We start from the raw sequence: 27,755 nt of genomic DNA on the forward strand, positions 1-27,755 counted from the left end.
AGGGCCACTAAATCTTTCAACTTCCAACTCATACTTTAAACTCCTGCCTCTTATCCTTTTTGAAGTGACTGGGGAAGACCAGGTACAGATCTGTAAAATGCTTCATTCCATTTTCAGAGGAGCTGAGGTCAGGTGCTTCCTACAGTCGAGGTCTCGCCAAGAAGACGGTGGCCACGTTCCTCAATTCTCAGGCGAGTGTTTTGATGCCTGGGTGCTTCTGCCTGATGAGCCCAGCATTCATGAAGTACATGTGACAAGAGGACGGCTGGAATATTGCTCAATATTTTCAGGCCGACGGCACTGGCTGCATGTAATTTGAGAGGAGTGTAGAATGTCAGCCGGACTTTTATGACGCACCCCTCTCCTCTTCCTGAGAATTGTTTGCATGTGGAGATTTCCTGCCTATATTTTTAGCGTCAAATTTTTTTGTGGTTGCTCAAGTACCTTCGGCCATGTTTTAGTGACTTACACAGAAGCCCTGATGCCCCTGATAAAACTGATGACCATCGAATGGAAAGAAGTCAGTGTAGAAAGCCCAGGCATTGTCCCATAGCTGGCCCTGTGTGTTTGCACTGATTCCTCAGAATAAGTTTGCAGATAGCTTAACTTCCAGAATTCCTGAGTTTCACTAGTCCCCCTTCTTTATGATGAATTGGAAAAAGGGTATATTCTGGGATAAAGCAAGAGGAAACTGGGTGCAGCAAAGATCCCTAGACCATTTTTCCCAGTGGCCCATTGCTCCTGCTGCTTTTTTCATACCAGCTGAATCTCCCTAAACCCCACGTCTGCGGCAAAGTCTTCGTGGTGAAACAGGTGAGTCACACTTTTCTGCTTCTCTGCAATTACAAATGTTATCACCTCATCTGACACAGAGAGGGTGTTGGTTGGAAATACGCATTAGGAATAAGCTCTTTGGAAACAGCAAAACTGCCTTCATGAAATGAAGACTTTTTTTTAGAAAGTCTGGAGCTAAAGTTATAAAAATAAAGAGGCGTCATCTCCCTTTCCTTCTCCTACAATAATGGAAATGAAATATCAAAGTAAACAGCACCACATCCATGTCCTCAGCACATGTGACTCGCTAACAGAACCATGCCAGCCACCCCATCCCTTCTCTCCCATATTCTCTGCTGTTCTCACTGTCTCTCAAGACCTGATTTAAAACCACCTTCACTAAGAAGTCTTCCTGTCCCCCTTCTGGTCCTTCACGGAATATTATTTTGCTTCTGAAACTTAAAAAAACAATTTTGTTCTCAGGTCATTCTCTGTGTACATCCCATCTCGTCCATCCTACAGATTAGATGTTCTTCCAGGGTAGAGGCGACCCCATCTCATGTCTTTTTATTCTCCCTCTGCTTTTTATTCCCACAGGCAGTCTTCAGTACAAGAAGCGTCAATCTCAGATCTTACTCATTTCCAACCTGTACCAATCAAAGGCCCTCCCAGCCAAGATAAAAGCAAAGTCTCCCTCCTCCAGAGCACATGGGAATGGCCCCCCAGTAGCTGGGGCATGCAAGCTAATGAAGTTTCATCTTCCACCTCTATCCAAATATGACCTTGCTGATACCATCTCCTATTAGATGACAAATCCGGATGTTTCTATTGCATGGTTGTTATTTGCCACATGCTTCCTGGACAAGTTTCTAGGTAACCTTAATGTCTGTGCTTCTGGGGAAGGAGGAGTAGAAAATAACTCACCTCTTCAGTAAGTGGTTTTAAAAATATAACAGTGTTTAAAAGCTTTTAGAGAGCAGCTCTCCTTCCGGCTGCTCCAGCTCTGTTTGCTTTGTGATAGGAGCCCCCGTAACACTTCGTGCTTGGCAACATCTGACGAGGACAGAAGGCAGGTTTAAAGCTGAGAAGATTGATTTTTCCTTTGTAGGGCTTTCCATGAGGGGCGTGGGAGAGAAGTCACTTGGGGAAGCAGTGGTCAGTGAGGTTTACTTCTCCATATGCTCTGCATTCATGTGTAAGGCTAAACAAACGTGTTGTCTCCGCAAGCAAATCCCACACCACAGAGAGGAGCAGTTTGTCCTGGAGGTCCTAAGGAGGTGACCAGTGACCTGGAGGGTAAAAGGTTGGGGCTCCTGAGACCTTTCTTCCAACTCTCATTTCCATCCTAAACTGGCAGGGGAAATGTACCCAAATTGCCTGTGTGTTTCGATTTGATGTGGACACACTGTGACCACTCAGGATCGCTCTGGTGCTGCTGAACTCCATGGTTCATATTAGGCCCGACTGTCTAGTTTTAGAAAGTGGGAGGAGATTTCCCCTCTGCCAGGGCTTGGGGTTTATGTTCCCCAGAGCATTGAGCAAGAGCCTCATGTTTACAGAAATCTCAGGCCCCATGATTTCTTCCTGTCAGGGTAGAAGGAGAAGGAGTAGGCACAGACTGTGGAGTAGATCTTGCCACTTCAGTCCCTTTGTTCTTGCCCAGCATGAGGTTACCAAGGAAAGGATACCTGGGGCGCTGGGGGTGAGGGTATGTATTGGTTGTTTGAACTCTGAAAATATAATTTTAAAATTGGCATTGTAAATCAAATCATTAGGTCTTCTGCATATAGTTTTATTTTTTCTAAAACTTCATAAAGCTGTCAAAAATACCTACACTATATTTTAAATGCTGTGGGCAATATAGTTTTTAAAATTTTATTGTGAAGTGCTGTTGTAATTCCTTTAAGAGATGTACACTGTCTACCTGGTTTATTTTGTGTGCAAATATGTATATATACACTGTATATATACATATACATATACACACAACTATATACATACATGTATATATACACACATATATATTTCAAAGTTTTTTGAGATCTAGTGCTCACACAGCATTTGGTAGTAACTAACAGCTGCTAAGTCAACTCCTAACCTTCTCAACCTCATCTGGTGTGACTTAGAGCAGAAATGGTCCAACCAGCGCAGCAACCATGTACCCACCCAAGTTGACTCCTATGGGCGTAATGTCCACAGGTGCTTCTGCCTTGGTGTGTCAACTCCATCTTACAATTTAGGAGAATTTGGTTACATAGCACCTACTAGGTCTTAAAAATAAAAATATCAATGCCCATTTTATATAGTGGGTCTATGTAGGATCTAGTGAAAATACGCACTTAAGTCTTTTAGAAGACAGGAGAGATTGGGGTCATACAATTTTTTTTTGCATATGTGAAGAGAGTAAATACTTAGTGTTCATCAACTCCATGAAAATGAAGATTCCAAACTACCACAAAACTAAGGAATAAAGCTTTATCATTTGGCTTTAAAGACTCTGAAAGTACTGGGTTCTATTATTGCCTTAATTGGGGTCATGCAAGGGTGGAACAATAGGAGCTAAATAGTTCATGTTAAGGCAGATCAAGGCTTGACAAGTTCCAGATTTCCAGCAGGATTTAACTCCTGAGTCACATCAACTTGGGGTACAAGATTCACTGGGAAGCAGGGAGGAGCAAAAATCAGTCTGTAGAACTCTAGAAAGCAGTACCTGATAAAGACCTTTAAAGTCTCCATGAATCAAAGATATTAAGATTCGTTTTCTGCTACCCCATCTTCAAAATGAAAGCTATTCAAAGCCACAACATAAATATAAAAATTTCTCCCATGGTAACCACCTGGTTGATTAAAATATGTTTAATTTTTCCTTTTCTTCTGTGAATTGCTGCTGCCCTAAGTATGTACGTGGTCTGCCTGTTAGCTTCCTAAGCACATCTGGCAAGGTGGGGTAGATGAAGAAGGGCAGCTATGGAGGTGGGCATTTGGGAGAATGTAAATGCAAGGCTGGGGACAGCTCTCACTGGAGGGTAGCATGACTGCCCAGCCAAGGGCCAAACTATAAAGGGACAGCCCCGGCAAGTGCTCCAGAGTAGGTGGATTTCACAACGTATGGAACCACTCCTTTTAGGTCCGAAGTGCTACATACTTAGTTTATGATTTGCAAACATTCATCTTCTGGCTGGAAGGCTGGAGACAAACAGACAGCTCATTAGGAAAATAACCAAAGAGCTAAATAAAATGGAGGAAGTAGGCAGCAGATCCCAGGCAGACAAGTGTGGCTCACAGTCCTTCATGAGAGATCAGAGGCCAAGCCAAACCAATGCGTCCGTCCCTCAAAGGTCATTCGTCTAGGGCTTTGTCAAACCAGGAAGGGAAGGGAGTTTCAAAGGGCCTTTTGTGGAACACACACAGCTCTGGCCCCTGAGATTCAAATCAGGATCAGGAAACCTGTGTAGCAACTGGCTGCATGTACAATGCTTAGCGACCAGCCAGGGCCCTCCAGCCTCCTTTTCTTTTTATGAGCACGAAGTTTTCCCTGTAGATGGGAAAGAGATAATTAAAAAACAAAACAAAAATCTGTCCCAATTGCAATAAAAAACAACCAAGACCTGGAGTTATTTACTTATTTGTGAATAGAACCAAACATGTTAGATATTTTTTGTTGTATGTGATTCAACAAACTATATAGAAATTATATTTAAAAACCCAAGCCATTATTATTTGCATCATAGATCATACTATGTAGTGGCAGCATGAAAAATGCATCAAATATACATGCAGATATTATTTATATATTTATGTGTGTGTATATATATCAAAACAAAGCAAACGTATGAGTAGATCAGCAGTAAACTTGTTAAAAATTGAGATAGAACTTAAGGTAGATTCTCTGTTGTTTCTGATCTCCAGGTTCTTTTGCTGGATCCTACCTTTCATGTACATGATCATCTCTTTCTTTTCCTTAGAATGGCCAATGATCCTTCTCTGTCCTCTTCTCTCTTCTGTGAGTGTTATGAACATTAAGAGCTTTCCCAGAAAACTTGGGCATTGTGCCTATATTTAGTTTTTGTTGTTGTTGTTTTGAGACGGAGTTTCACTCTTGTTGCCCAGGCTGGAGTGCAATGGTGCTATCTCGGCTCACTGCAACCTCTGCCTCCCGGGTTCAAGCGATTCTCCTGCCTCACCCTCCCACGTACCCGGGATTACAGGTGTGCACCACCATGTCTGGCTAATTTTTTGTATTTTTAGTAGAGATGGGATTTCACTATGTTGGCCAGGCTGGTCTTGAACTCCTGACTTCAGGTGATCCACCCGCGTCAGGCTCCCGAAGTGCTGGGATTACAGGTGTGAGCCACCATGCCCAGCCTATATTTAGTATTTTGCTACTCAATCTCATTCACTTTTCAGTCAGCACACAGTTCTTTGTTTTTGTTTATGTCATTTTATTTAGTTTCACCAAAGGGCTCTGGGTTCCTCAGATGTTGTGTTGTGAGAAGAAGACCAGGCCCAGAGAGCAGAAGAATCCCTGGCCTGGGTCAGGACTTGCTTTCTCGTCTGAGGCCTCCAGCTGGTCCTTTAGGTTCTCTGAGATTCAGCTTCTGCAACTGCTTACCTCACAGAGTTGCTATGGACATCAAACCAAATAATGACTATAAAAGCACTCATGTAAATTATGTGTTATTATTAGAAAAGTTTCCATTTTATACCAAGACAAAGGAACACTGTTATTCATTTGACATGTTTTCTTTTTATTCTTATTCATTTTACATGTTTTCCCCTTCTATTTCTGTCCATGGTTCTCTTCAAATTTTATAATTTAAAATGATATCATCATTATTGAGTCATAACTGAGTGAGCCATTGAGAATATGAATCAGCTGAAACTGAGGGAAAAATAATCTCAAGTCCAGTAGGACCTGACATTACAGAGTCAATTTCTGTTGGTGACAACCTTATTTCTTGTAAAGTTCTAAATGAAACCCTAAGTCAAAGTTATGTTAGAACTTCTAGGACAAGGAATCAGGGAACTCAATGGGCAATACATAGGGAGTCAGGGGAGTTCACAAAAGCTGCAGAGGGCAATTTTGAACCTGAAGGCCTAGTAACCTGTAATCATCCTTGAAGTCAAGAATATTGTAATCTCAACAAGCTGAATAAAGGTGGCCAACTAGTGAATCAAGCCTGTGGTTATGCAATGGTTTGCCTTGCAGTTCTGAAAGCTTGCTGACAGTAGGTTCTCTTTATCTCCACCCTTTCACTGAAGCGTCTTAGCCCAGGAGGGTTGAACCCGTATTAGAAGCCCATGCCTAAATTAAATTTCTTAAGCATTGGCCATTATCATCCACCATGTTTCTGTTGTGATTGATGTATCTATAACTGACAATTCAAGAAACCTACTGCCGGGAGTGCCAATCTTTGATTTAGAAACATGGTGTCTTTTAGAAGTCTTGTAGAACCCTTGACTCTTTCTCACAATGCTGTTTTTAAAAGCATAAAACTAAATACATAGGATACCAAAGAAACCAATTATACTGAAGAATAGTTATCAAATACTTTTTAAAAATATGTGATATAGTTAGATGCTTCTTTATTAATACATTAAATAAGATCTACTGATGGATTTAAATAAGTATTGTATCTTCAAAATGGTGATGAACTTAAATGATGTTTCAAAGCATTAGCAACAACTGTTGGTGACTGAGTCACAGGTGTTGATTGTTGTTTGTTACTGCTACGGTTTGGATATCGTTTGTTTGGCTCCACTCAATCTCATTTTGAAATGTGACCCCCACTGTTGGGACTGGGGTCTGCTTGGGGGTATATGGGTCATGGGGGTGGATCCCTCATGAATGGCTTGGTGCCATTCTTGCAGAAGTGAGTTCTCATTCTTAGTTCTCAAGAGAACTGGTTGTTGAAAAGAGCCTCTCTGGCCAGGCGTGGTGGCTCATGCCTGTAATCCCAGCACTTTGGGAGACCGAAGCAGGTGGATCATTTGAAGTCAGGAGTTTGAGACCAGCCTGGTCAACATGGTGAAACCCCGTCTCTACTAAAAATACAAAAAAATTAGCCAGGTGTGGTGGCGGGAACCTGTAATCCCAGCTACTTGGGAGGCTGAGGCAGGACAATTGCTTGAATTCAGGAGGCGGAGATTGCAGTGAGCCGAGATCGCGCCACTGAACTCCAGCCTGGGAAACAGAGACTCAGTCTCAAAAAAAAGTAGAGCCTCTCACCTCCCTCTTTCTTCCTTCTTGCTGCTTCTCTTGCCATGTGATCTCTGCACCTGTTGGTTCCCCACTGCCTTTTGCCTTCAGTGAAAGCAACCTGAGGCCCTCACAAGGAGCAGATGTTGGCACCATGCTTCTTATACAGCCCACAGAACCATGAGTCAATTAAACCTCTTTTCCTTATGAATTACCCAGACTTAGATTTTTTTTTATAGCAACACAAATGGACTAAGACAGTTACCTGCCTTCTTAATTGAAAAAATTGCTAAATTTTAGTTACAGGTTAGTGAAAACAAATAAGTGGGTCTTTCCCCATCCAAGTTTATAGAACCTTGGAATTCTATCCAAGAGCCCCTTGGGTGTCTGCAGACCTCAAAGTCAGCTCCTCTGCCAGGATGGCTTCTTTGCTACTGGCCCAAAGGACAATCACAAGAACTAAAAAGAACAGTATCACCTGTACCTTCCTGGTATATCTGCTTATAAAACCCAAATTTCACAGCTTGTCCCCAACTGGCAGGCTTCTATAGCATAAGCTTAATGGCAAGAAATGATAAAATTCATGTGAGATCTACAGCCAATGTATATTTGCTTTGTGTTTTTGCTAAAGTGACCAGATATTTCTACAACAGATAGTCATGGCTTTAGACTATTTGTCAAAATAAACTTTTAGAGTTGTCTTGACTTTGATGCCTTCTAGGCCCCTTGAGGGAAGCTGAGAAGGCAAGTACAAAAGTGGGCTAACAGCTACATAAAAATAAGCTAAGGCCCACATCAAGATGTGGTGTGAGGCTGGGCATGGTGGCTCACGCCTGCAATCCCAACACTTTGGGAGGCTGAGGCCAGGAGTTCAAGACCAGCCTTGGCAACATAGCGAGACCTGCTCCCTCAAAAAAACAAAACAAAACAAAACAAAACTGGGCATGGTGGCACACACCTGTAATTCCAGCTACTTGGGAGGCTGAGGTGGGAGGATCACCTGAGGTCAGGTGTTTGAGACCAGCCTGGCCAACATGGTGAAACCCCAGCTCTACTAAAAATACAAAAAAATTAGCCAGGCATGGTGGCATGCACCTGTAGGCAGGAGGATCGCTTGAACTCAGGAAGTGGAGGTTGCAGTGATCCGACATCATGCCACTGCACTCCAGCCTGGGTGACAGAGCAAAACTCTGTCTCCAAAAAAAGAAAAAAAAAAAAAAAGAAAGAAAAGAAATAAAGAATGAAAAGTGGCATGAGAGTAGGAGCAGAAAGAGGCAAGAAATATTTGGGCTCAGGCACCAAAATAAGCCCAGGCTAAACCAAGTTTCACAAAACTTCATCCCCCAGCCCCAAGCCTGGGGAACCACAGTGTGGGCACAGTGAACACGTTTGCAGCCACTTCCTCAGCATGAGCTGAGATACCACATAAGAAGAAATCAAAACAAAACCTACCTCTTTTTTTTTTTTGGCTTGAGGGAGCTAGTTTTATTTTAGGGGCTAAAAAGAGGAAAAGGATGTACTGATTTCCACAGTTAGGCAGTATCTGTACAGAATGTTTTAAGAAAGCAAAGAAGTTTAATAGGTGTTAGAAATAGTATGCTTTAACCTTTTCAAGTGGCATGGGTTTTAATTTTGGCATAACTTTTAAAGGAGACATTGCTATCTTTTTTTTCTTTTAATGTGTACAACTTATGCAGTAAATTATAAGGGTGTTGGCCAACACATTTTATATATATACATATATATTTGTGTAAAATATATATATGTAAATATTTTTCTGTTTTTGTTCTATTAGCTAATACATACAAAGAAGCTAGATACAAAAGCATCACTTCTAGAAAATAAAGGATACTAAACCAAAAAGATGATACAGCAGTGCTCATGCTTCCTTAGTTGTTTGTTGTTGAGTCACTTACATGGTTTTTCCAGACAAATGTCTGAGGGAACTATACCTGCTTTGATAAGGGTTGAGTCAAAAGTAGATGAAGGAACTGCTATGAATAGAAAAAAGGAAACTCAAGCTGCTGGTAAGCTTAGGAAATGTGGAAATGAGATCATATTCAGAGAACAAATTTACTTTTAGTTTTGAAATAACCCCTTCTCTGAATGGGTAAGTTCTATGTAGTCCAGCCTGTGGAAAATACTCAGTGATTAAGGGGCTGCCAGTGGCTATGGGAAATGGACTTGGTTGGCTTCTACTGGAGGTGGGGGTTTGCTGCTCCTCCTGAGAAATGGGGCTGCTAAGGAAAGGAGTCAGCTCTGCAGGTCAGGCCCACGGATTCTCAGTGTTCAATGCCATGTGCTTCACAACAGTCTGAGTGTGACATTCTCAGTGTTGCTTTTGATTTCTATGTTTCTGAGAAGCAGTTAGTCTCACATTGATCTCAGCTTGGTGGTCCCTGGGTTTAGTGGGAACTCCCCAGCCATGGTTAATACCATCCTCTGCGTCCGTGGTGACACTGGTTCATGGACTTGCCTCTTTCTTCATTCCCTTTTACAGAAGGCTGATGGTTAAAGTCCCAGCCATAATCCTACCCAGGAATATAGTTCCAAAATTTAACTATGGGAAAAACATGACCATAAGTTTCCCTAGAACTCATCTTTGCAGTGTTTTAAATGGAATTCTGGAACATTTGTGGTCTCTTGCTCCTGTGAAGAGGTTGTTTCCTGCTTTGCTTTATAGATGCCATTTCCTCCCTGGCGCATTTAAAAAACCACTGCATACAGCATTCTGGGAGCTATAGAAGGATTAAGAATGACCTTTAGCTGAGGAACGAGACAGCACAGCTACAGGAGATTCTGATCTATTTTCTTTTTACATGTACAGTGTTGCACCTCTATGGAAAGCACTGGCCAAGTTCCAAGCCAGCCTCAAGCAGACCCTAAATATTCCAAAGAAATAGCCTGCAGTCACTACAAAACTTGCCTAAAGACATGCCAGGGTAAAAACCCAGTTCAAATCTGCTAAAGGTGTCTCCCACTCAAAGGGTAGAGGGCAGGGATTTCTTTCTAAATGAGGGAACATAAGATAAGGTACACATTATGATAATACCATTTCCTACACTTGATAGTTTGAAAACCACTTTCACAATGGTTCTCTTATTTGTTTTTTGTGGGGTTTTTTTTGGCCAGGAAAGTACAGTGTACATCATTTGCTTTTTAGACATAAGGTTAATAGAACAAGAGCAATGATACAGCTAAAAGTTATACAATCAATTACATAACAGATATACTTAACAAGAGGTAAGAACTTTTTTTTTTTTTTTTGACACAGAGTCTCATGCTATCACTCAGGCTGGAGCACACTGGCGCGATCTCAGCTCACCGCACTCCACCTCCCGGGTTCAAGCGATTCTCATGTCTCAGCCTCTTGAGTAGCTGGGATTACAGGCTTGAGCCAACACACCTAGCTAATGTTTGTATCTTTAGTAGAGATGGGGTTTTACTGCGTTGCCCAGGCTGGTCGTGAACTCCTGACCTCAAGTGATCTGCCTGCCTCGGCCTCCCAAAGTGCTGGAATTACAAGTGTGAGCCACCGCTCCCAGTCAGAATATTTTTTAAAAAGTCTTTATATATGTTAGATAGTTAATACAACAGATAATGGCAATTAAGGAATGAAGCATGTTACGCAAGTAGACTTAATTTGGAAGGAAAATAAACATTTACAAAACAGCTACTATGAGCCAGGCATTGTGCAGGGATCTTGACATGCATTATTCCACTTGATCCTTACAGTAGGTTAGTAGTATTCGCTAATTTTCCAAAGAAAAAGAAAAAAACTCTAAAGTTCAAAGAACTCAGTGGTTACACTGAGGCACATGGAAATTGTACGATCTGAGAGGTGAGCCCATGTCTTGCCATTACACCACCCTACCTCATTACTTAGGATAAATGTTGCCCATGATTTCTTCTTTTTCCTTTTGATTTTACCATCCCTTCATCTGAATGTGATTACACTCATTTCACTCTTTATAGCTCCTTTCACCATCATCATCACTCTCATAATAACGGTGATCGTTCACTGACCTCATTTAATGCATCTTATTATAGTTATAGATTTCTCTTCTTACCCATGTTAGTTATACCATATGTTTCTTGAAAGTAGGTCTCAAGTCTTATTCATTTTTATATATTAAGCAGCATCTTACTACCATTTTACATCTATTCTCTTCCCAATAAGTGTTTTTTGAATGAACTAAGTGAAGCAAAATGGCATGCCTGCAGTCCTAGCTACTTGGGAGGATCCCCTGAGCCTAGGAGTTTGAAGCTGCAGTTAGCTATTATCATGCCACTACACTCCAGCCTGGGTGACACAGCAAGACCTTGTCTCTAAACAAAAAAGAAAGAAAAGAAAAAAACCAGAGCAGAAATGACTTTTTACAACAGACTGAGAAAAAGAGGACACATTTTTGTTTGTTACTGGATCATCATAACAGTCATGGTCAGTGAGTTAGGATGATAATCTGATGAAACCGATTTGCTCACGAGTGTCCTTTAGATTCTATTCCCATCCTGGCAGCACTTCTTGGGTACCATCCAGGACCTGCTGTCCACAGCCTCCAGCCTGAACCTCTTGCCTTGACCTGTTCATCCTGCTTCATCCTGTCATGCTCCAGACCAGATGGGCCTCCAATGTCATTGCTTGGTTTCTGGTTTCCATCTCTACCTCATCATTTGGACTTGATGCCTGACAGAGCTTTGGATTCTCCTCTCCTGTTGGTTGTCTCAGGACCGTTTGGAATGCTCTTCTGGGGACACTGATTTCCCATGCAGTGAAAAGACACAGGCTACATGAAACTTTTCTTTTCTCCTTCCTTCTTCCTTTCTTCTTTCTTTCTCCTTTCCTTTCCTTCCCTTTCCTTTCCTCCCTTTCCCCTTCCCCTTCCTTTCCTTTTTTTTTGGACAGTCTTGCTCTGTCGCCAGGCTAGAGTGCAGTGGTGTGATCTCAGTTCACTGCAACCTCCACCTCCCAGGTTCAAGCGATTTTCATGCCTCAGCCTCCTGAATATCTGGGATTATGGGCACGCACCACCACATCCAGCTTATTTTTGTATTTTTAATAGAGATGGGGTTTTGCCATGTTGGCCAGGCTGATCTCAAACTCCTGACTTCAAGTGATCTGCCCTTCTTGGCCTCCCAAAGTGCTGGGATTATAGGCATGAGCCACCGTGCCCGGCTAGCCACCACGCACGGCTGATTTCTGAAAAAAGGAACTTATAACCTTAGGTCACTGGTCAATTTCCACAGCAGTACTTAGTGATCAAAATTTACTATTTGTGGATTAATTTACAACTGGCACCAGTGATTACTCAAAAATCAGAGAACAACACTTTTAGCCTAGGGTGGTGAAGAACATGGACTCTGTGGCCAGACTGCCTGGGTTCAAAGTCCAGCTCTGTGACTTACTAGCTATTAATAGCTGTGTGGCCCTAAGAAAGTACTCAACCTTTCTGTGGCCCAGCCATACAATGGGGATAACATTTGTAGGTTATTATGAGGAGTAGCTGACTTAATTATTTTCAAAGTGCTTGCAGCAGTGCCAGACGTACAGCGAGAACTATATAAGTGTTTGTTAAAGAAAATGTTTGCTTTCTCTGTATTCTTCTCCTGGGAATACTTGGCTCTGACATTCACAAACTGTTAGCCCCTTGAGGGCAGGACTTTGTTTTGTTTACTGTGTTATCCTCAGTACCTAGAATGGTGTCACATGGGAAATGTGCCATAACTATTGGTTTTAATGAATGAATGGGGATTCTGGAGGCAAACCATCACAATCATAAGAGTTGATTATTTATTAGTCCTGTCTTCTCTCACATTTTTTTCTCTCCTTTATGTTTTTACATCAGATGCTTCTGCCTGGGACAGGCTGGCAGAGGCAAAACCTTGACTAATAGCATCATAGACTCTATATCTCATTCAGCTGGAAATCAGCTAACACTCAACAGCTGATAAATAGAAAACTTCTCAGAAATAAGAAGAATCCCAATGCTAGTTTTTACAAAAACTCATAAGTTTAGGGCTGTGGTCCTATCCTAAAGGAAGTATTGCTAAAGGGAAGCTGTGAAGAGAAATGTTACTTAACAGCAGAATCTGCACTTCTGAAATTAGATTGTAAAAGATGGTGGCTTCCATCTTAAGTGCGATCACTTGTGTTCTCTCTCTTTCAACGCTCACTTTGGGAGAAGCCAGCTGCCATGTGTCAGGACACTCAGGCAGCCTGTGGAAAGCTGCACATGGTGAGGAACAGAGGGCTCCAGTCAAACGACCAATGCCAACAACCATGTAAGTGAGCTTGGAAGTGGATTCCCCAGCCCCTGTCAAGCCTTGAGACAACTGCCATCCCAGTCAATAGCTTGGTTGCAACCTTGTATGAGATCCTGAACTCAAACCATCCAACTAAGCTGCTCCTAGAAACTGTGTGAGATAATAAATGCTTGTTGTTTTAAGCTGCTAAATTCTGGGGGAGATTTTTTTAGACAGTAATAGATGTACATTTGAAAAGTATTGTTTAGGACATTCAGTGCACTCTTCCAGAATTTCTGGGATGACTAGGTATTTATGAAGAATGCTCATGAGACTAAATAGGTAAAATAGGAAAATCACATTTCCAGAAATACTATATAATCTTTTAAAACATATGGCCATTACAAATTTCAGATTTTTATCTTAGATTTTACAGGAGGTAACAGTTGGAACAATGGCAGTTTTGGAGTTTTTCTTTGCACTTGTATAACTCTTCTGTATACAGATAGTGCAAGGAGTTTTTAGAGAGAGAGGTTTGCAGTAGTACCAACCTATTTTTTCATTTTAAAGATTATACCAAAGCTATCTATCTCTAATCTTCTAAACGGGATTAAAAATAGATGATGATAAATATTGCTAAGTCATGAAACTATTAAAAGAGATGAAATGACATCACTGACTACAGTTGTGGGGAGGTAAAAATATACGCAAACTAATCAATTGTGATCGGGAACAAAACTTAATATTTAGTTTCTGACACAAGACAACACAGTGGGCACCAAAGTTCTCATTATCTAATTTAAGGAGGTACACTGGTTCACCCAGAGAGATATACATTTTCCCCAGCATAAACTCTAAGAAAACTTTATTATATAATTTTATAAAGGATGCTGGATAACAGAGTTGTTGAGAGCAACGGTACAAACAATCAAACAGGGATGTTCCTCATATCACCATTACTTACAGGGGCCTTAGCTATGATAAAGAGATGGCTTAAGAGGCAGGGAACTGGGCTGGGTGCGGTGGCTCACACCTGTAATCCCAGCACTTTGGGAGGCCGAGGTGGGTGGATCACTTGAGGTCAGGAGTTCAAGACCAGCCTGGCCAACATGGTGAAACCCCGTATCTACTAAAAATACAAAAATTAGCTGGGCTTGGTGGGGGGCACCTGTAGTCCCAGCTACTCAGGAGGCTGAGGGAGGAGACTTGCTTGAACCCGGGAGATGGAGGTTGCAGTGAGCTGAGATACTGTGCCACTGCACTCCAGCCTGGGCGAGAGGGAGACTCTGTCTCAGACAAACAAAAAAACCACCAACAACAAAAACAAAAGAGGCAGTGAAGCAGAGCACAGGTGCATGGCATTCTGGGGACCTGACTTGCTGTAGAAATAGCTTTTAGCATAAAACCTTAAGTAGCACTTCCAAAATCTGTGTTCCTTGGAAAATTGATTCTAAGAGACTCTCATAAAAATGGGCACACTGTGGTCTCTATGCCCTCTTGGAGAACATTTCAGCATATTAAAGGTGTATAAAAGTCCTTCATAAAAATAAAAGTGTTGGCTGGGCGCGGTGGCTCACGCCTGTAATCCCAGCACTTTGGGAGGCCGAGGCAGGCGGATCATGAGGTCAGGAGATCAAGACCATCCTGGCTAACACGGTGAAACCCCCTCTCTACTAAAAAATACAAAAAATTAGCTGGGCGTGGTGATGGGCACCTGTATCCCAGCTAGTTGGGAGGCTGAGGCAGGAGAATGGTGTGAACCCGGGAGGCAGAGGTTGCAGTGAGCCAAGATTACGCCACTGCACTCCAGCCTGGGCGACTGAGTGAGACTCTGTCTCTGAATAAATAAATAAAGTGTTAACTATTAAATCTAGCATTTTTCAAATGCTACAAAGGCTACAGAACTCTTTTTGGGTAATGCCTACATTCCCCTGCATTTATTTGGGAGATGCCAGTCTTACCTAGGAAGCTGATCCTCACTTTTCACCATTCATTTGAATCACCTGATGAATTTTACAAACACCCTCTGCCTAGGCCTCACCCCAACAGATTCTGGTTCACTTGGTCTAGGTCGGGGCCTGGGCAATGGTGTGGTTTAAAAAAAAACTCCCCAGGTGATTCTAATGAACTAGATGGTGGAGCACACAAACAGCCTCAAGTAAGAATCACCTGGAGCACTCGTTAAAGCACTGATTGCTGGGTCCTACCCCATGAGTTTTCAATTAAGCAGGTTTGGGGCAGAGCCTGACAATTTATATTTCTAACAGGTTCCCAGGTGCTGCTGTTGCTGCCGGGGGTCAGAGGATACCCTCTGAGAACTGGTGCTCTGACAAACAATGGGTAAGCATGGCTGTTGTTAGGCTATCCTTATCAGTGTGAGTACAGATCAGAACAAGGGTGTAGAACAGATTTCCTTTTGTTCTGAGCTGAATGCAAACAGCAATTACCATACGTTGCACCAATAGGTGGAAACTGAGTCTGGCCATGATGCATTGCATCCCACCTCCAGGCAGAATACAGGAGGAGGGGTGGTTACAATAGTGGGTGGGGGCCCTGAGGGCTGTCAAGTTATCTGTGGAATGGCCTCAACTCAAGGGTAATGTTAGCAGGAAGGGAGGCATTTTCATAGCAGATTGAGGTGTTTACCTGGTTGAAGAAGCCGAGGCAGTGAGGAATGCCTGGCCCAGAGCAGAGCAGGGCAATGGAAATGTTACCTCCTGTAAAAAGGGGTTTACATCAGTACTCTTGGGAGAAAAACTTTCAAGGAGGCAGAACATGACTGGGCTGTGAGGAGACCTTACTGGGTCCCTCCAGTTACCAGGCCAATTTTGGGGCTCAGCACCAAGCCTGAGAGGATGAGCTCTTAAGGCAGGCTGACAGGAGGTGGGTACAGTGGGGGAGATAAGACCTGTGTTGTTTTTTGTTTTTTTTTTTGAGACACCGTCTCACTCTGTCACCCAGGCTGGAGTGCAATGGCGTGATCTTGGCTCACTGCATCCTCCGCCTCCCGAGATGAAGTGATTCTCCTGCCCTAGCCTCCTGAGTAGCTAAGATCACAAGCGCCCGCTACCATGCCCGGCTCATTTTTGTATTTTTAGTAGAGAGAGGGTTTCACCAGCTTGGCCAGGCTGGTCTCGAACTCCTGACCTCAGGCAATCCGCCCGCCTTGGCCTCCCAAACTGCTGGGATTACAGGCCTAAGCTTCCACGCCCGGCCACGACCTGCATTCTTGGCTAGCGCTGATACCGATGGACCTTTCCTGGCCTGTTTCTTCTTGGTGGTTTATCCCACCTCATGCTAAAAATAGTTTAAAAGAAGGGCCCATTGAGAAAGCCTGGAAACATCTGTAAAAGGCATAAAGAGGCCGGGCGCGGTGGCTCACGCCTGTAATCCCAGCACTGTGGGAGGCCGAGGTGGGCGGATCACAAGGTCAGGAAATCGAGACCATCCTGGCTAACACGGTGAAACCCCGTCTCTACTAAAAATACAAAAAATTAGCCGAGCGTGGTTGCGGGCGCCTGTAGTCCCAGCTACTCGGGAGGCTGAGGCAGGAGAACGGCGTGAACCCGGAAGGCGGAGCTTGCAGTGAGCGGAGATCGCGCCATTACACTCCAGCCTGGGAGAGACAGAGCGAGACTCCGTCTCGGGAAAAAAAAAAAAAAAAAAAAAAAGGCATAAAGCATTGATTGTCAAGTGGTCTGGTAAGAAAATACTTACTGCGCTTCCTTACTTTTGCTCATTTTTCATTCCCAAAAGGGCTTCTTTTCAGTTTCTCTGACCCTCGGGCATCTTTCTCCCAGCCCCCTTGTTTCAGTTTCCTGCTTGCCCACCAATAACCTCGTTAGAGCCACACCACACACATGGTTCGCCTGCTGCTGACAACAGACAGAGCTCATGGGCAATTTTAATAGTGCAGATGTTATTTCTCTTCTTCTCAGAGGAACGGCCTCTGAGAGCCCCACAGTGATGGGGCTATAACCCCAGAAACCTCCACAAGGGAGGGGCCAGCCAGTCTCGGCTCTCTGCACTCACTGTGCACCAGCCTCTGGCCTCCAGGAAGACGGAGGGCGCTGGGGAAGGCAGTCATGGTTCCTCCCCAGCTCAAACTTTCCCATGTGAAATCCCGTGGGCCAGTTTGAGGTCCACTGGCCACTAAAATGCAATCTCTCTGTTTTGGAAACTTTCCTCAGAACTAATTAGCAACAAGAGACGCTCACAGATAAGAACCTCAAATACCAAAACACCACTGATAAGGCACTAACTGACATGCCTAGACCTGAGGAGGGAATCATGTCTGGGCTTCATCTCCCCAGCAATGGGTAGTAAAGGCAAACAAGCCATTGAAGGAACAAGTTCAGCAACAAAAAAGCAAGGCCCTAAATAGCTTTTGTTAATGAGAAGTGATTTGGATACACATACATTCAGTGAGCCTAAAGTCCGTCTTACCTTGGGGCCTGTCTACCATGCTCTTTATGGAGCTCTCCCCTCAACAAATATTAGCTTTAGCCACCTCTTGGGGAAGCCTGACCCCACTGCCTCACTGTGCCACGTCCCCTTATTATTAATTCTCACAGCCAACCTTTTATTTTGGAGCATTTACCACAACTGGAATCAAGTTGTGTCATTTGCATTTCTCTTGTTCAATGGTGTATTCCCACCACCTAGCACAAAGTCTATGTAAATATTTGCAGAACAAATATGCATGGCTTCTATGACTGAGGAACTCACAAATATATATAAGAGGGTTTCATGCAGGACTTGCTGACAGCTTTGGTTGAAGTCACAAGATGTGCCATCTACATCCACAACTTCCACACTGTAGTGTAACTCAGATTCTGAACCCTATATTGCAGGACTCACAGAGAGGAGTAGTAAAAAAAAAAAGCCAGTTTTTCTCCCTTCACTTCTGGCTCCTCACTGATGTAAGGGGTGGAAGTAGAAAAGTCAGCTCATGTTAGAAATCAGGGTTTCTATAGAGGGTTGGCAGTGAGCTTCCCTCTTGCCACAAGGCTAAAGAGAACAGCTTCATAAAGAGTACTTAGAAAAAGTAATTTGTGACACCTCAAGCTTGGGGGACACACAGGGCTGGTATGTGACTTGTGCCTGAAAATAAAGGTCTAGCAGAGTCAAGGATGCATTTGGAAGTCACTACACTCACGGATACCAGCCCAAAAGTGCTGATTGGTCTATGACTGGGGTGGGAGTGTGGGTGAGCGACCAGATGGGACACCTCGAGTTGGCATGTTGGTATGATCATTTTTAAATGGGCAGTAAGCTTACTAGCTTCTTGCCTGAAGTGACGGCAGTATGCTATTGGAGGCAGATGCTGAAGGCCACTGCAAGGGCCAGCCATAGGAGAGGTCAGAGGAGTCCGAGGCAACCAGGGTGGGCTTTGACAATGCCCAAAGGAAACCAAGGCCAAGGACTTCAAAGCTGTCATTCAATCAGCCCTCTCATGCTCCTTGTCTCTCCTCCCTACCTTCCCACCCTTTCATCCTGGGAAATGCTGGGTGGTGGGAGGAGTGGGGAGGATGGCAAAAAGCACTTGGCTTCCAGACTAAAGCAGGCCTAAGCTGGACGAGGGGAGAATATTCAGTTCTAAATGTATTTCAGAACTGTGGCTGTTACATGACTGGACTTGTGAGTTACTGAAATGAGGCCCTTGCTAAAAGTGAATACAGGACTTATTTAAAAGTAGCTGTCTCTGAGGAATTCTGGGAACCGCCAGAAATTTCATCTCTGAAGGCAAACAGCCCCCAAAAAGTGGATTTGTAGGGACACACATGACAATCGCTGTTGCTTTATGATTGTCCCTCATGGTCAATGTGACAGTGTTTAAACTTCACAGGCATTATCCTACATTACCAGGGATGAAAGAAAGAAGATCTAGGGGTTTAGGCAAATTGCCCTGGGTCAAAGGTAGGTGAATGTCACAACTGGAACTCAGGCCCAGGGTAGAGAACTCCATGTTCCGTTCTTTCCCCCAATACCACAAAGCATTTTCTATCCTCCCCAATTTTTCATGCTTTTAGGTCCCTATTTCTGACCTGGCCTTGTCACCATCTATATGTCAGGTCATTTTTAACCAAAGACAAGGGGAAAATGGTAAGATGTGCATGCTAACAGAAGAGGGGAGCCAGGGTCATTCACTCAGTCAAGAGGAGGGAGTGAAGAGAAGGGAGGAGCAGGTGGGGAGGGTGAGTTAAGGAAGGGAGGGGTGGATGATAATTGGCTACCACAGCAATAAAGATTTGTCAACAGGGGCAGAGAAAGAGGAGGGAAGGAGGAGGGTGGAGAAAAAGGTGGCTTTGCTGACGGTCCCTAGTGTCCCCTTACAGCTGTTCTCAGCTGCAGAGTTCTGAAGCTCAGGTGGCCACGAGACCCCTAGAGACCCTCCTGGCACTCCTTTGACAAGGCTGATTTAAATGAACTCTATCCTTGGGAGGAGAAGGAAAAACTTACAGGTGTAAGAAAGAGTGATTTTCACAGCAGCCTTTTATCCAAAGCATCTTACCTGTAACGAACAACCCCCTCTAGTAACTAGGTGGCAAGAAGCACTTAGGCTTCCAGACAAAAACGCTCTTTTAAAAACTGTCCTCTATAAAGACAACTGGAAAAGAGAATAGAGAGAATATTCAAAGTTCAGCTCAAGTTGAGAACAAATGCATCAGCACTGTGTCTAAGTTACTGGTAGCCAAGATGCCAAGAGAAGCTAATGTGGGACTTGAAAAGATTCACAGAGGGCCGGGCGTGGTGGCTCATGCCAGTGCTGCTAATCCCAGCACTTTGGGAGGCCAAGGTGGGCAGATCACGAGGTCAGGAGTTCAAGACCAGTGTGGCCAACATAGTGAAACCCCGTCTCTACTAAAAACACAAAAAATTAGCCGGGTATGGTGATGTGTGCCTGTAATCCCAGCTACTCAGGAGGCTGAGGCAGGAGAATCGCATGAACCCGGGAGGCGGAGGTTGCAGGGAGCTGAGATCGTGCCACTGCACTCCAGCCTGGGCAACAGAACGAGACTCCCTCTTAAAAAAAAAAAAAAAAAAAGATTCACAGGAAAAAAAAAGTATTTCATAGAGAAATCTGATTTTTGATAGAGAAATCAATAGCAGAGCTTTTAAAATGTTCTGGGCTGTGTCCATTTACCGGGGAGCTCAATCAATCACTCTTATGCAAAAATCTAAATTAACCTAATAGGGTTGTTCAGCTCTGACTGGTTGCTTTGCTACATATATTGCTACAGAACTTTCCACCTCTGAATAAAAGATGGAAAGAAATAATTTTAAAGTATCCAATAAAAATACATATAGTAAACTTATGAGGTGCCAGACACCTCTCTACGTATGTGTCAGCCCAGCAACCTCCAAGGCAGGTACTATCCTGTTCATGATGGGAAACAGAGGATCTGGGGCTTTATAAACATGCCCACAGTCTGTGGCTTGTGAGTGGCACAACAGGACTCTAAGCCAGGCTGTCTGGCAAGACTCCTTGCTCTGAAGCCCTGTGCCCGCTGCTTGTGCTCTGGCACAGCTTGCCTGGCACTTTACCACTCCTTGTCTTCGTATCATTTTTTGGAAGTGGCTGCTGGGCTGTTCTCGGCACCACCTAGGAAGAGTGTGTAAGCTCCTGGGGTCCCATCCTGCCTTCCCACGTGCTGTCACTTAGACGTCTTCATTTCACCATCTACAATGTGAAGGGTTGGGATTCCTGTAACTGGAGAACTAGCAGAGCCCATCAACAGCATTGGGCTCTGCTAGTTCTTGGAAGCACTTGGAAAATTACACAAATGCTAGGCATAAAATAAATGTCAATAAAAACACGTGGCAAAAGGACTCGCAAAGTCAAGTCAGTGTCTTAGTCCATTTGCATTGCTATAAAGGAATACCTGAGGCTGGGTAATTTATAAAGACAAGAGGTTGATTTGGCTTATGTTTCTGGAGGCTGTACAATAAGCATGGTGCTAGCATCCACTTCTGGGAAGGGCTTCAGGGAGCTTTTACTTATGGTGGAAGGCAAAGGGGGAGCAGGTATGACACATGGTGAGAGAGAGGAGATGCCAGGCTCTTTTTAACAACCAGATATCCCATGAACTTATTACCGAGGTGGGGTGGGGGTGGGGGTGGGGGGCGGATGGAGACACCAAGCCATTCGTGAGGGATCTGTCTCCATAACCCAAACACCTCCCACCAAGCCCCACCTCCAACACTGGTAATCACATTTCAACATTAGATTTGGAGGGGACAAATATCCAAACTCTATCAGTCGGTTTGTCATGGGCACCAGTCTGCCATCATTAACTGATTCCTAATCATGACTTTGGGAAGATAAAGTGGCAAGGAACACAAACTTGAATGAGATAGCAGATTCTTGCAGTAATCCAAATCCTTGGGCCACATGAATTTTAAATATGACCGATAGAAATAGTTTGCCTCATTCATTCTTTCAATAAATTATTACTGAGCACATTTTATATGGCAGACACTAGTCTAGAGGCTGGGGACACCCTGGTGAACAGGACAGTTTCTACTCCCACAGAACTTACTAATGCAATTAGTATCCAGTTATAATTATGATAAATGCCACAAAGGAGAAGTATAGAATGAAAGAGAGCATATACCCAGAGGACCTGGGTAGTATGGGGTGGGGGCAGGGGGGCGGTTAGGAAAGGCTTCCTGAAGGAAGTGATGCCTAAGTGGAGATCTTAAGGATATGGAAGACTTAGCTAAGTGAGGAAGGGGTGGAGGGTGGTATTGGTGGTACAGAGTCTACTTAGCACATGAGGCCTTTGGGATAGGAGGAGCAAGGAGTACTGGAGAGCCTGAAGGAAGGTGTGTGTGACTGGTGTGTGGAGAGTAGGAGGAAGAGGCAGCGAGACTGGTAAGGTAGATCATGCTATCCATGTACTCCACAATGGGATTCTGTAAGCCTATTTGGAATTCAGCAAGTATGGAAGGGCAGTCAGCATGCTTCTAGAAGCCCCAGCTGTAGAACTCAAACATGCTGGCCAATTATGTGGGCTCATCTGCAGGGAGCACACTTCTACATTTATAGTCCTAGACAGACGTGAAGTTCTTATTGTCCATCTACAAATGCTCACATTGTACCAACCATTTAATTACAGTAAGAAAAACCAGCCAGGTTGGTCAGTTGAATGAGGCAAGCAGGAGTTGAAATGACACATCTCCACCATTGCACCTGGCAGAATCATCTGATCCCCAACTTGAGAATTAAGCAATCATATCAGAGCCTCCTACTGCCACTACCACTGTCAGCTTTCTGTCCCAGTCTCAGAAAGGTAAAACCAGTAGAGCAGGTACATGTACACCCAGCATTCAATAAAACAAGCCCCAAACACCTCACCTTGAAACCTCTAGCTACTGCCTTTGTCCCCTTTGCAATCAGTCAAAATGAGTTCATTCTCATATGGAAAGTAATGCTTCAAGAAACACTCCTTCTTGCATTCAGCCGATAATCTGTAAAGAACGATTTTTTTCACAGAATTCCCATGTGCTTTTATAAACAATACTGAAACCCCTCCACGCCTCAGTAAGAAAAGCATATTTTCATTTTACAGCTGAGGACAGGAGCCTGTTAAAGGTCCAGTGGGAGAAGGGACTGGGGAGGGCTCCCGACCGTCATGTTGTGAAACTCACTCATCCTTGAGGCTTCTTGTAAATATGACCAGAGGAACCGCCCACATTACTCACTCTGGGTTTTTAATACCAATGTTTGATTGAGGCTTTCTTCCCTTCCTCCTCCATTATTCCTTCAGAAGATTTTTAGAAACTGGAGGTTAAGGATTCAGCTGGGAGAATGCCCTTATGTCTTCTCAGACTGGATACCCCTAAGCTGGAGTCTGTTTCTGAGATAGGCTTTTGGTATGAAGAGAAAATGATATGATTACGAGACTGTACCCTTTCCTCCTACCTCCACCGCCCACTTTCAAATACCCCATTGTTAACACTGTACACTTCCAAAAGTAAAGCGAACATAGGGGAAACAACGTTTTCTCAAAAAGTGTGCTAGTCTCCCTTCAAATGTATTCTGTCATTTCCAATAAATCAACTCCCCCAAAATAATCCACTAGAAATCACTCCGACCCCCACATTCTAGCCTTTGGAACCAAAAGGACTTATCTAGCATATGTGGTATCACTGGAATTGTCACTTTGAAAAGATTAGTCTTATCCTATATAAACATATGAGGCCCAGGATGGAGAAGTGGTTAGGAACACAGATGCTGTGGTCAGACTTCCCAGGCTCTGCCATTTACTAGCTGTGTGATAGGCAAGTTTCTTAACTTCTTTATGACTTAGTTTGCCCACCTGTAAAATGGAGATAACAGGTGGTGAGGAGAAATGGGATAATGCAGCAAAAATGTGTAACAAAAAGGAAACCTTCCATAAATGGTAACTATGATTATTGTTCCCCTAGTAGAAGTTGTCCCTGGAGGGCCTGTCCTACACTTAGAAAAAGATCCCTGGAGCAAATTCCCTGCTCCCACTTCCTAGAGCCCTAACAAGTAATATCTCTGCTAATACTTTGTCATAGGCTCTTTCTGTTTGTTTTTAAGACAAAGAGGCTTGAAATGAGACAAAGGAAAAACAAGTACCAGAATTGCAAAGTTAACATTTTTATTGAACTGAAATTGGTGTAGAACAGGGGCAACCACAGCTGCTGAGCTCTGTAACAACTGAAAAGCCCCTGTGACATTTTACCTTTGAGAGTCCTAACACGGTTTGAGTGGAACAGCTGAGAAACAGCATATATATATTTTAACACCTCAAAATAGTTTGAAATGAGCCTCACAGCCTTGTTCAATCTTCAGATTACAAATAACATTGATAGCATCTCCTGTGGCCTTCAGTTAGTAGTGCCAGTTAATATTGTTTCTGAAAACTTTCCTCTCAAAGTGCTGGCTATAATTTTTTCTCCATCCAGTACACATAAGAAAAGGATTTAGTAACACTTGGGCAAGTAATAAACTGTAGAACTTTAAAAGTAGTAAAGGCATATACCAAGCATACGTGACTCCACACATTGTCAGAAAGGCAGTGGACTGGCTAACGAGTTTCTGCCAAGTTTCAGAAGCAAAGAATGCACTAATGAAAAGGGTAAGGCATCCAAGCAGAGTGTCTGAATTGATGGACCACTTTTGTCTAAAACTAATTTCAACATCTTCCAATATGCAAGCAGGCATTTGTTTTACATAAGGTGAAACACTTTATAAGAGAAAAGAAAACTCCTATAAAGCTTATAAGATCAGAAAAAATTAATACTGAATTTTTATAATCAATGCATGGAGCAATGATATAAACTGACCATAACAATTTTGTGAGAACAAGTATAAAACTATCCATTACTACCTTAAAGAGTTGAAAGTTAAGCCCTCTAAAGTATTCAAAGTGGAATAAATAACAAGGTAGGAAATGCAATACCTATATATTTTAAAAAGCCCACATCTAGTTAATGTTCTCTTAGTTTGTTTTAAATCAGTTGTTCATCCAACCTGGAGTTGATTTAAGGATGTTGGTAAAAATCTTCAAAAGTCCTTCAAATCATTTTAGATGAAATGTGATAGAAAAAACTATACAACTCATTCTCTAATCTTGCTATTTTTCACACCATCCTTCCAAAAAAGAAAAGAAAAAAAACTAGATAAATTCTTCCACCGGAGTAACTGACATTAAGTGGCCACTATTCCTGTAGTAATCATTTGTAAGAATCTAAAAGTCTTGCAGTAGGGGACGAAAAATGATTATAAATATTTTAATAGGCTCATGCCTCATCTTCAAAAGGGATGAAACTTGGATAGTAGCAGATTCAGAGATTTATAATTTTCAAATTTACAACTAATAGACAGACACACTTTTGCAAGGATCTGTCCAACACATACAACTAACATCTAAATTAAGGCTTTTACTGGTATGTGATCAGGTCTAAGGGTATGCAATGCTGGATTTCCATTTAGCATCTCCAGCTTTCATTGTTACCCAACTTGTAAACCAGAAGATGTGCTGATGTACAGGGTAGGAGCTCCAATGGCTAACCATTCACCAACTGGAAGGCTTGTTTGTAAACAGGTTCTGAAACAAGAGTTGGCAGTGAAACAACTGAGGAGGTGCCTCAGATCATGCAAAGGGGAAAAGTGATTTGCACCTGCTGACATGATGGACATTAAAAAAAAAAAAAAGCCAATAGTTGACCTTCAGTTCAAGATTTCAAGATTTACAGACCTAAAAGTTTAGAACTACATCCAAGCCAATGGTTCTCATACTTTAGCTTGCAGAAAGTCACCTACAAGAAACCTGTGAAAATGCAGATACTTGGGCCCTATACCTAGAGATTCTAACTCAGGTGATCCAAATGGTCCAAGCACCTTTTGCTTTTGAGAAACCTTGCTCATAGCAAATAGCAGCACACAGTCTTTGATTAAAAGGCCAAGATGTCCAAGAAATAACACCAATGAGTTCATTACCTATAGACGAACCACTCAGGAGACTCTATCATAATAATATGATGCCTGAATTTATCCCCAATTAAGTTTCCCTTTCCTTTTTTCAATTAAAAAGTTTGAAATAAATTAACGTTTAATAATGATTGTACCAATTCTGAGGTAAAAAAAGAGCACCAGGGATCTCAATGCTAAAAGAAACAGAATTCCTTAGGAGGTCCATGCTACATAGAACCAAAATTTCTGCGGTAATGTTATAGAGTTGTAGTGCAAAAGGGACTTGTTTCAGTCTTTGTATAGTCTGTATACTTCTGTATACATTTAGTATATTATCTAATCTTTCCAGTTAATGTTTTAGAACTCCAAAGAGAAAAGTTAATCTACATGCTCTCTCAAGTTTTCTAGATAACCAACATTTTTCTGGTTTACAGTGATACACAACAAAGTTATTCATTTATTTTTCTGGATGCTGGAGACAAACATCTTTATTAAAGACACTACCAAAATTTTGGCAAACATTTCAAAACAGATTTGTAAACATAATGCTTCCCTTTTCAACTGGCAGCACTTTGAAAAGACAATACAATAAGACAATACAACTTGAATCAACATTAATTCAAAATCCTTATATTTTTGACCACATAACTTATGTTCCCACATGATAAAACAAGTGACAGTTTAAATCAATGTCAACAGATAAACTCCATGAAATGAAAGTTTGTGCTGTTTGATGAATCACAGTATGTTATGGTTAAATATATCCACTCTTTTTTATATTCCTGGCACCAGGATGAAAAAAAAAATCTTTAAATATACCTCTTATGTAGGTAATAGCTTCTTTGCATATCTCTCTTCAAAAAATACTTTATAGCAGTATATAAATAGGTTACCTACACATTTCATTTTATAATTTTGTCCCAAAACTATAGATCTGTTTCATTTTCATGACATATCAATTTTTGCCCAACATTAATAAAGCTGACAAACTCGTTGAAATGGAAATGCTTTTGTCTTCCACAACAAAAGTAGCAATTTGATAGAAGAAAAAAAACAAAAAAACAAAAAAACACCCTACAGTAACACTCGTCAGTTGTTTAACCTGAGCGTTTGGCCTACTAGGAGTAGCAGCTTTTTTTCCTTCATGCACGCTCACATCCACACCACCTCTGCACACATACAGATCGAGCACACACTTCCAGATGCTGGTAGGCCACAGTATGCTTCCCATTGCTCTAATCAAGTGGGAAGCAGTGTAGCTAATGATTAACCACACTATGTACACAACTAGCAAACACCTTAAGGCAACCATTGCAATGGGGGGTTAACTTGCAGGGCGGATTTAATGTTCTAGATCAAGTCAGCCTGTATATACATATGTGTATGTGAATCTATACACATACACCTTTCTATTTTTTAACCCTCCAAGACAATGTTTATTTTTTTAATTTTGTGCAAATTTCTAAATATTCTACCATTTAAGGCAAAGAGTTTGCATTAAGAAACGTCAGAAAATAGGCTTACGTTTATCCAAAAGCATTTCACCTTGCACATTACTGTTGTTGTTTTTTAAACACATACAACTTTTAAGTGTGGACACTGGATCCCCAATATCTAAAAAATCATTTCTAATAACAAACACAAGTTTTTGAGGAAAAAAAACTGATTTGAAATATAGACAATGGATCCCCAATACCTAAAAAAATTATTTCTATTAACAAACACAAGTCTTGGGGGTGGGGTGGTGGGGAGGACCAGAAAGAGCAGCTTCGAAATGCAGGGAAGCAAAGTAAAATGGAAAAGAAAAAGTAACTCAAGTTTACTAATACTGAAACTTTCAACAGCCAAAGTTTCACCTTTTTAGAATCTAGAGCAACTCATTTGGAATTTTAAATAAATAAGCTTAAGTTTATTCACATCTTCTGGTCCAAGCAGAGTTCTAGGACCATGACTCTGCTTGCTGTTGGTCAAATTCACCTATTAGCCTTTTGATGTGAGCCAGCTTGTTATGAAGATATTCACATCTGTATTTTTCTTCATGGTAATTGGGACTAGACTGCAGATGAAAAAAAAAAAAAAAAAAGAGGA

General features: G+C 42.4%; 1 protein-coding gene and 1 long non-coding RNA gene across 6 annotated transcripts in view, besides 2 other annotated features; one reads left to right on the forward strand and one right to left on the reverse strand.

The window, feature by feature from the left end:
- The first annotated feature begins 519 nt into the window (after positions 1-519).
- LOC105379091 (uncharacterized) lies at positions 520-20,342 on the forward strand. 2 transcript variants are annotated; one of them, XR_001742813.2, is made up of 3 exons: positions 520-2,482; positions 13,159-13,255; positions 15,484-20,342. It is a non-coding gene; the product is annotated as an uncharacterized LOC105379091 (long non-coding RNA). The 2 variants fall into 2 exon arrangements; XR_007058880.1 differs by lacking the exon at positions 15,484-20,342 and having other exon boundaries at positions 13,159-13,428.
- Positions 704-1,903: an enhancer, noted in NCBI's record as "CDK7 strongly-dependent group 2 enhancer chr5:95197672-95198871 (GRCh37/hg19 assembly coordinates)". NCBI's record gives its function as "activates an origin of replication core promoter dependent on BRD2, BRD4, P300/CBP, MED14 and CDK7 cofactors, with strong dependence on CDK7, by STARR-seq in HCT116 cells {active_cell/tissue: HCT116}" and the evidence as "EXISTENCE:reporter gene assay evidence [ECO:0000049][PMID:35650434]".
- Positions 2,159-2,660: an enhancer, noted in NCBI's record as "NANOG hESC enhancer chr5:95199127-95199628 (GRCh37/hg19 assembly coordinates)". NCBI's record gives its function as "activates a minimal SCP1, AML or CMV promoter by ChIP-STARR-seq in naive H9 embryonic stem cells {active_cell/tissue: H9 hESC(naive)}" and the evidence as "EXISTENCE:reporter gene assay evidence [ECO:0000049][PMID:30033119]".
- Positions 20,343-23,833: 3,491 nt separating the features above from the next.
- Positions 23,834-27,755, reverse strand: part of ELL2 (elongation factor for RNA polymerase II 2) — a 76,754-nt gene continuing 72,832 nt past the window's right edge. For all 4 annotated transcript variants that reach the window (NM_012081.6, XM_017009240.3, XM_047416959.1 and 1 more), the window contains one exon: positions 23,834-27,723. In NM_012081.6, coding sequence (NP_036213.2) covers positions 27,607-27,723 — 117 coding nt within the window. In that variant the 3' untranslated portion in view covers positions 23,834-27,606. The remainder of the gene's footprint in view (positions 27,724-27,755) is intronic.

This window comes from Homo sapiens, chromosome 5 (genome assembly GCF_000001405.40).
Source record: "Homo sapiens chromosome 5, GRCh38.p14 Primary Assembly".
Classification (NCBI taxonomy): Eukaryota; Metazoa; Chordata; class Mammalia; order Primates; family Hominidae; genus Homo; species Homo sapiens.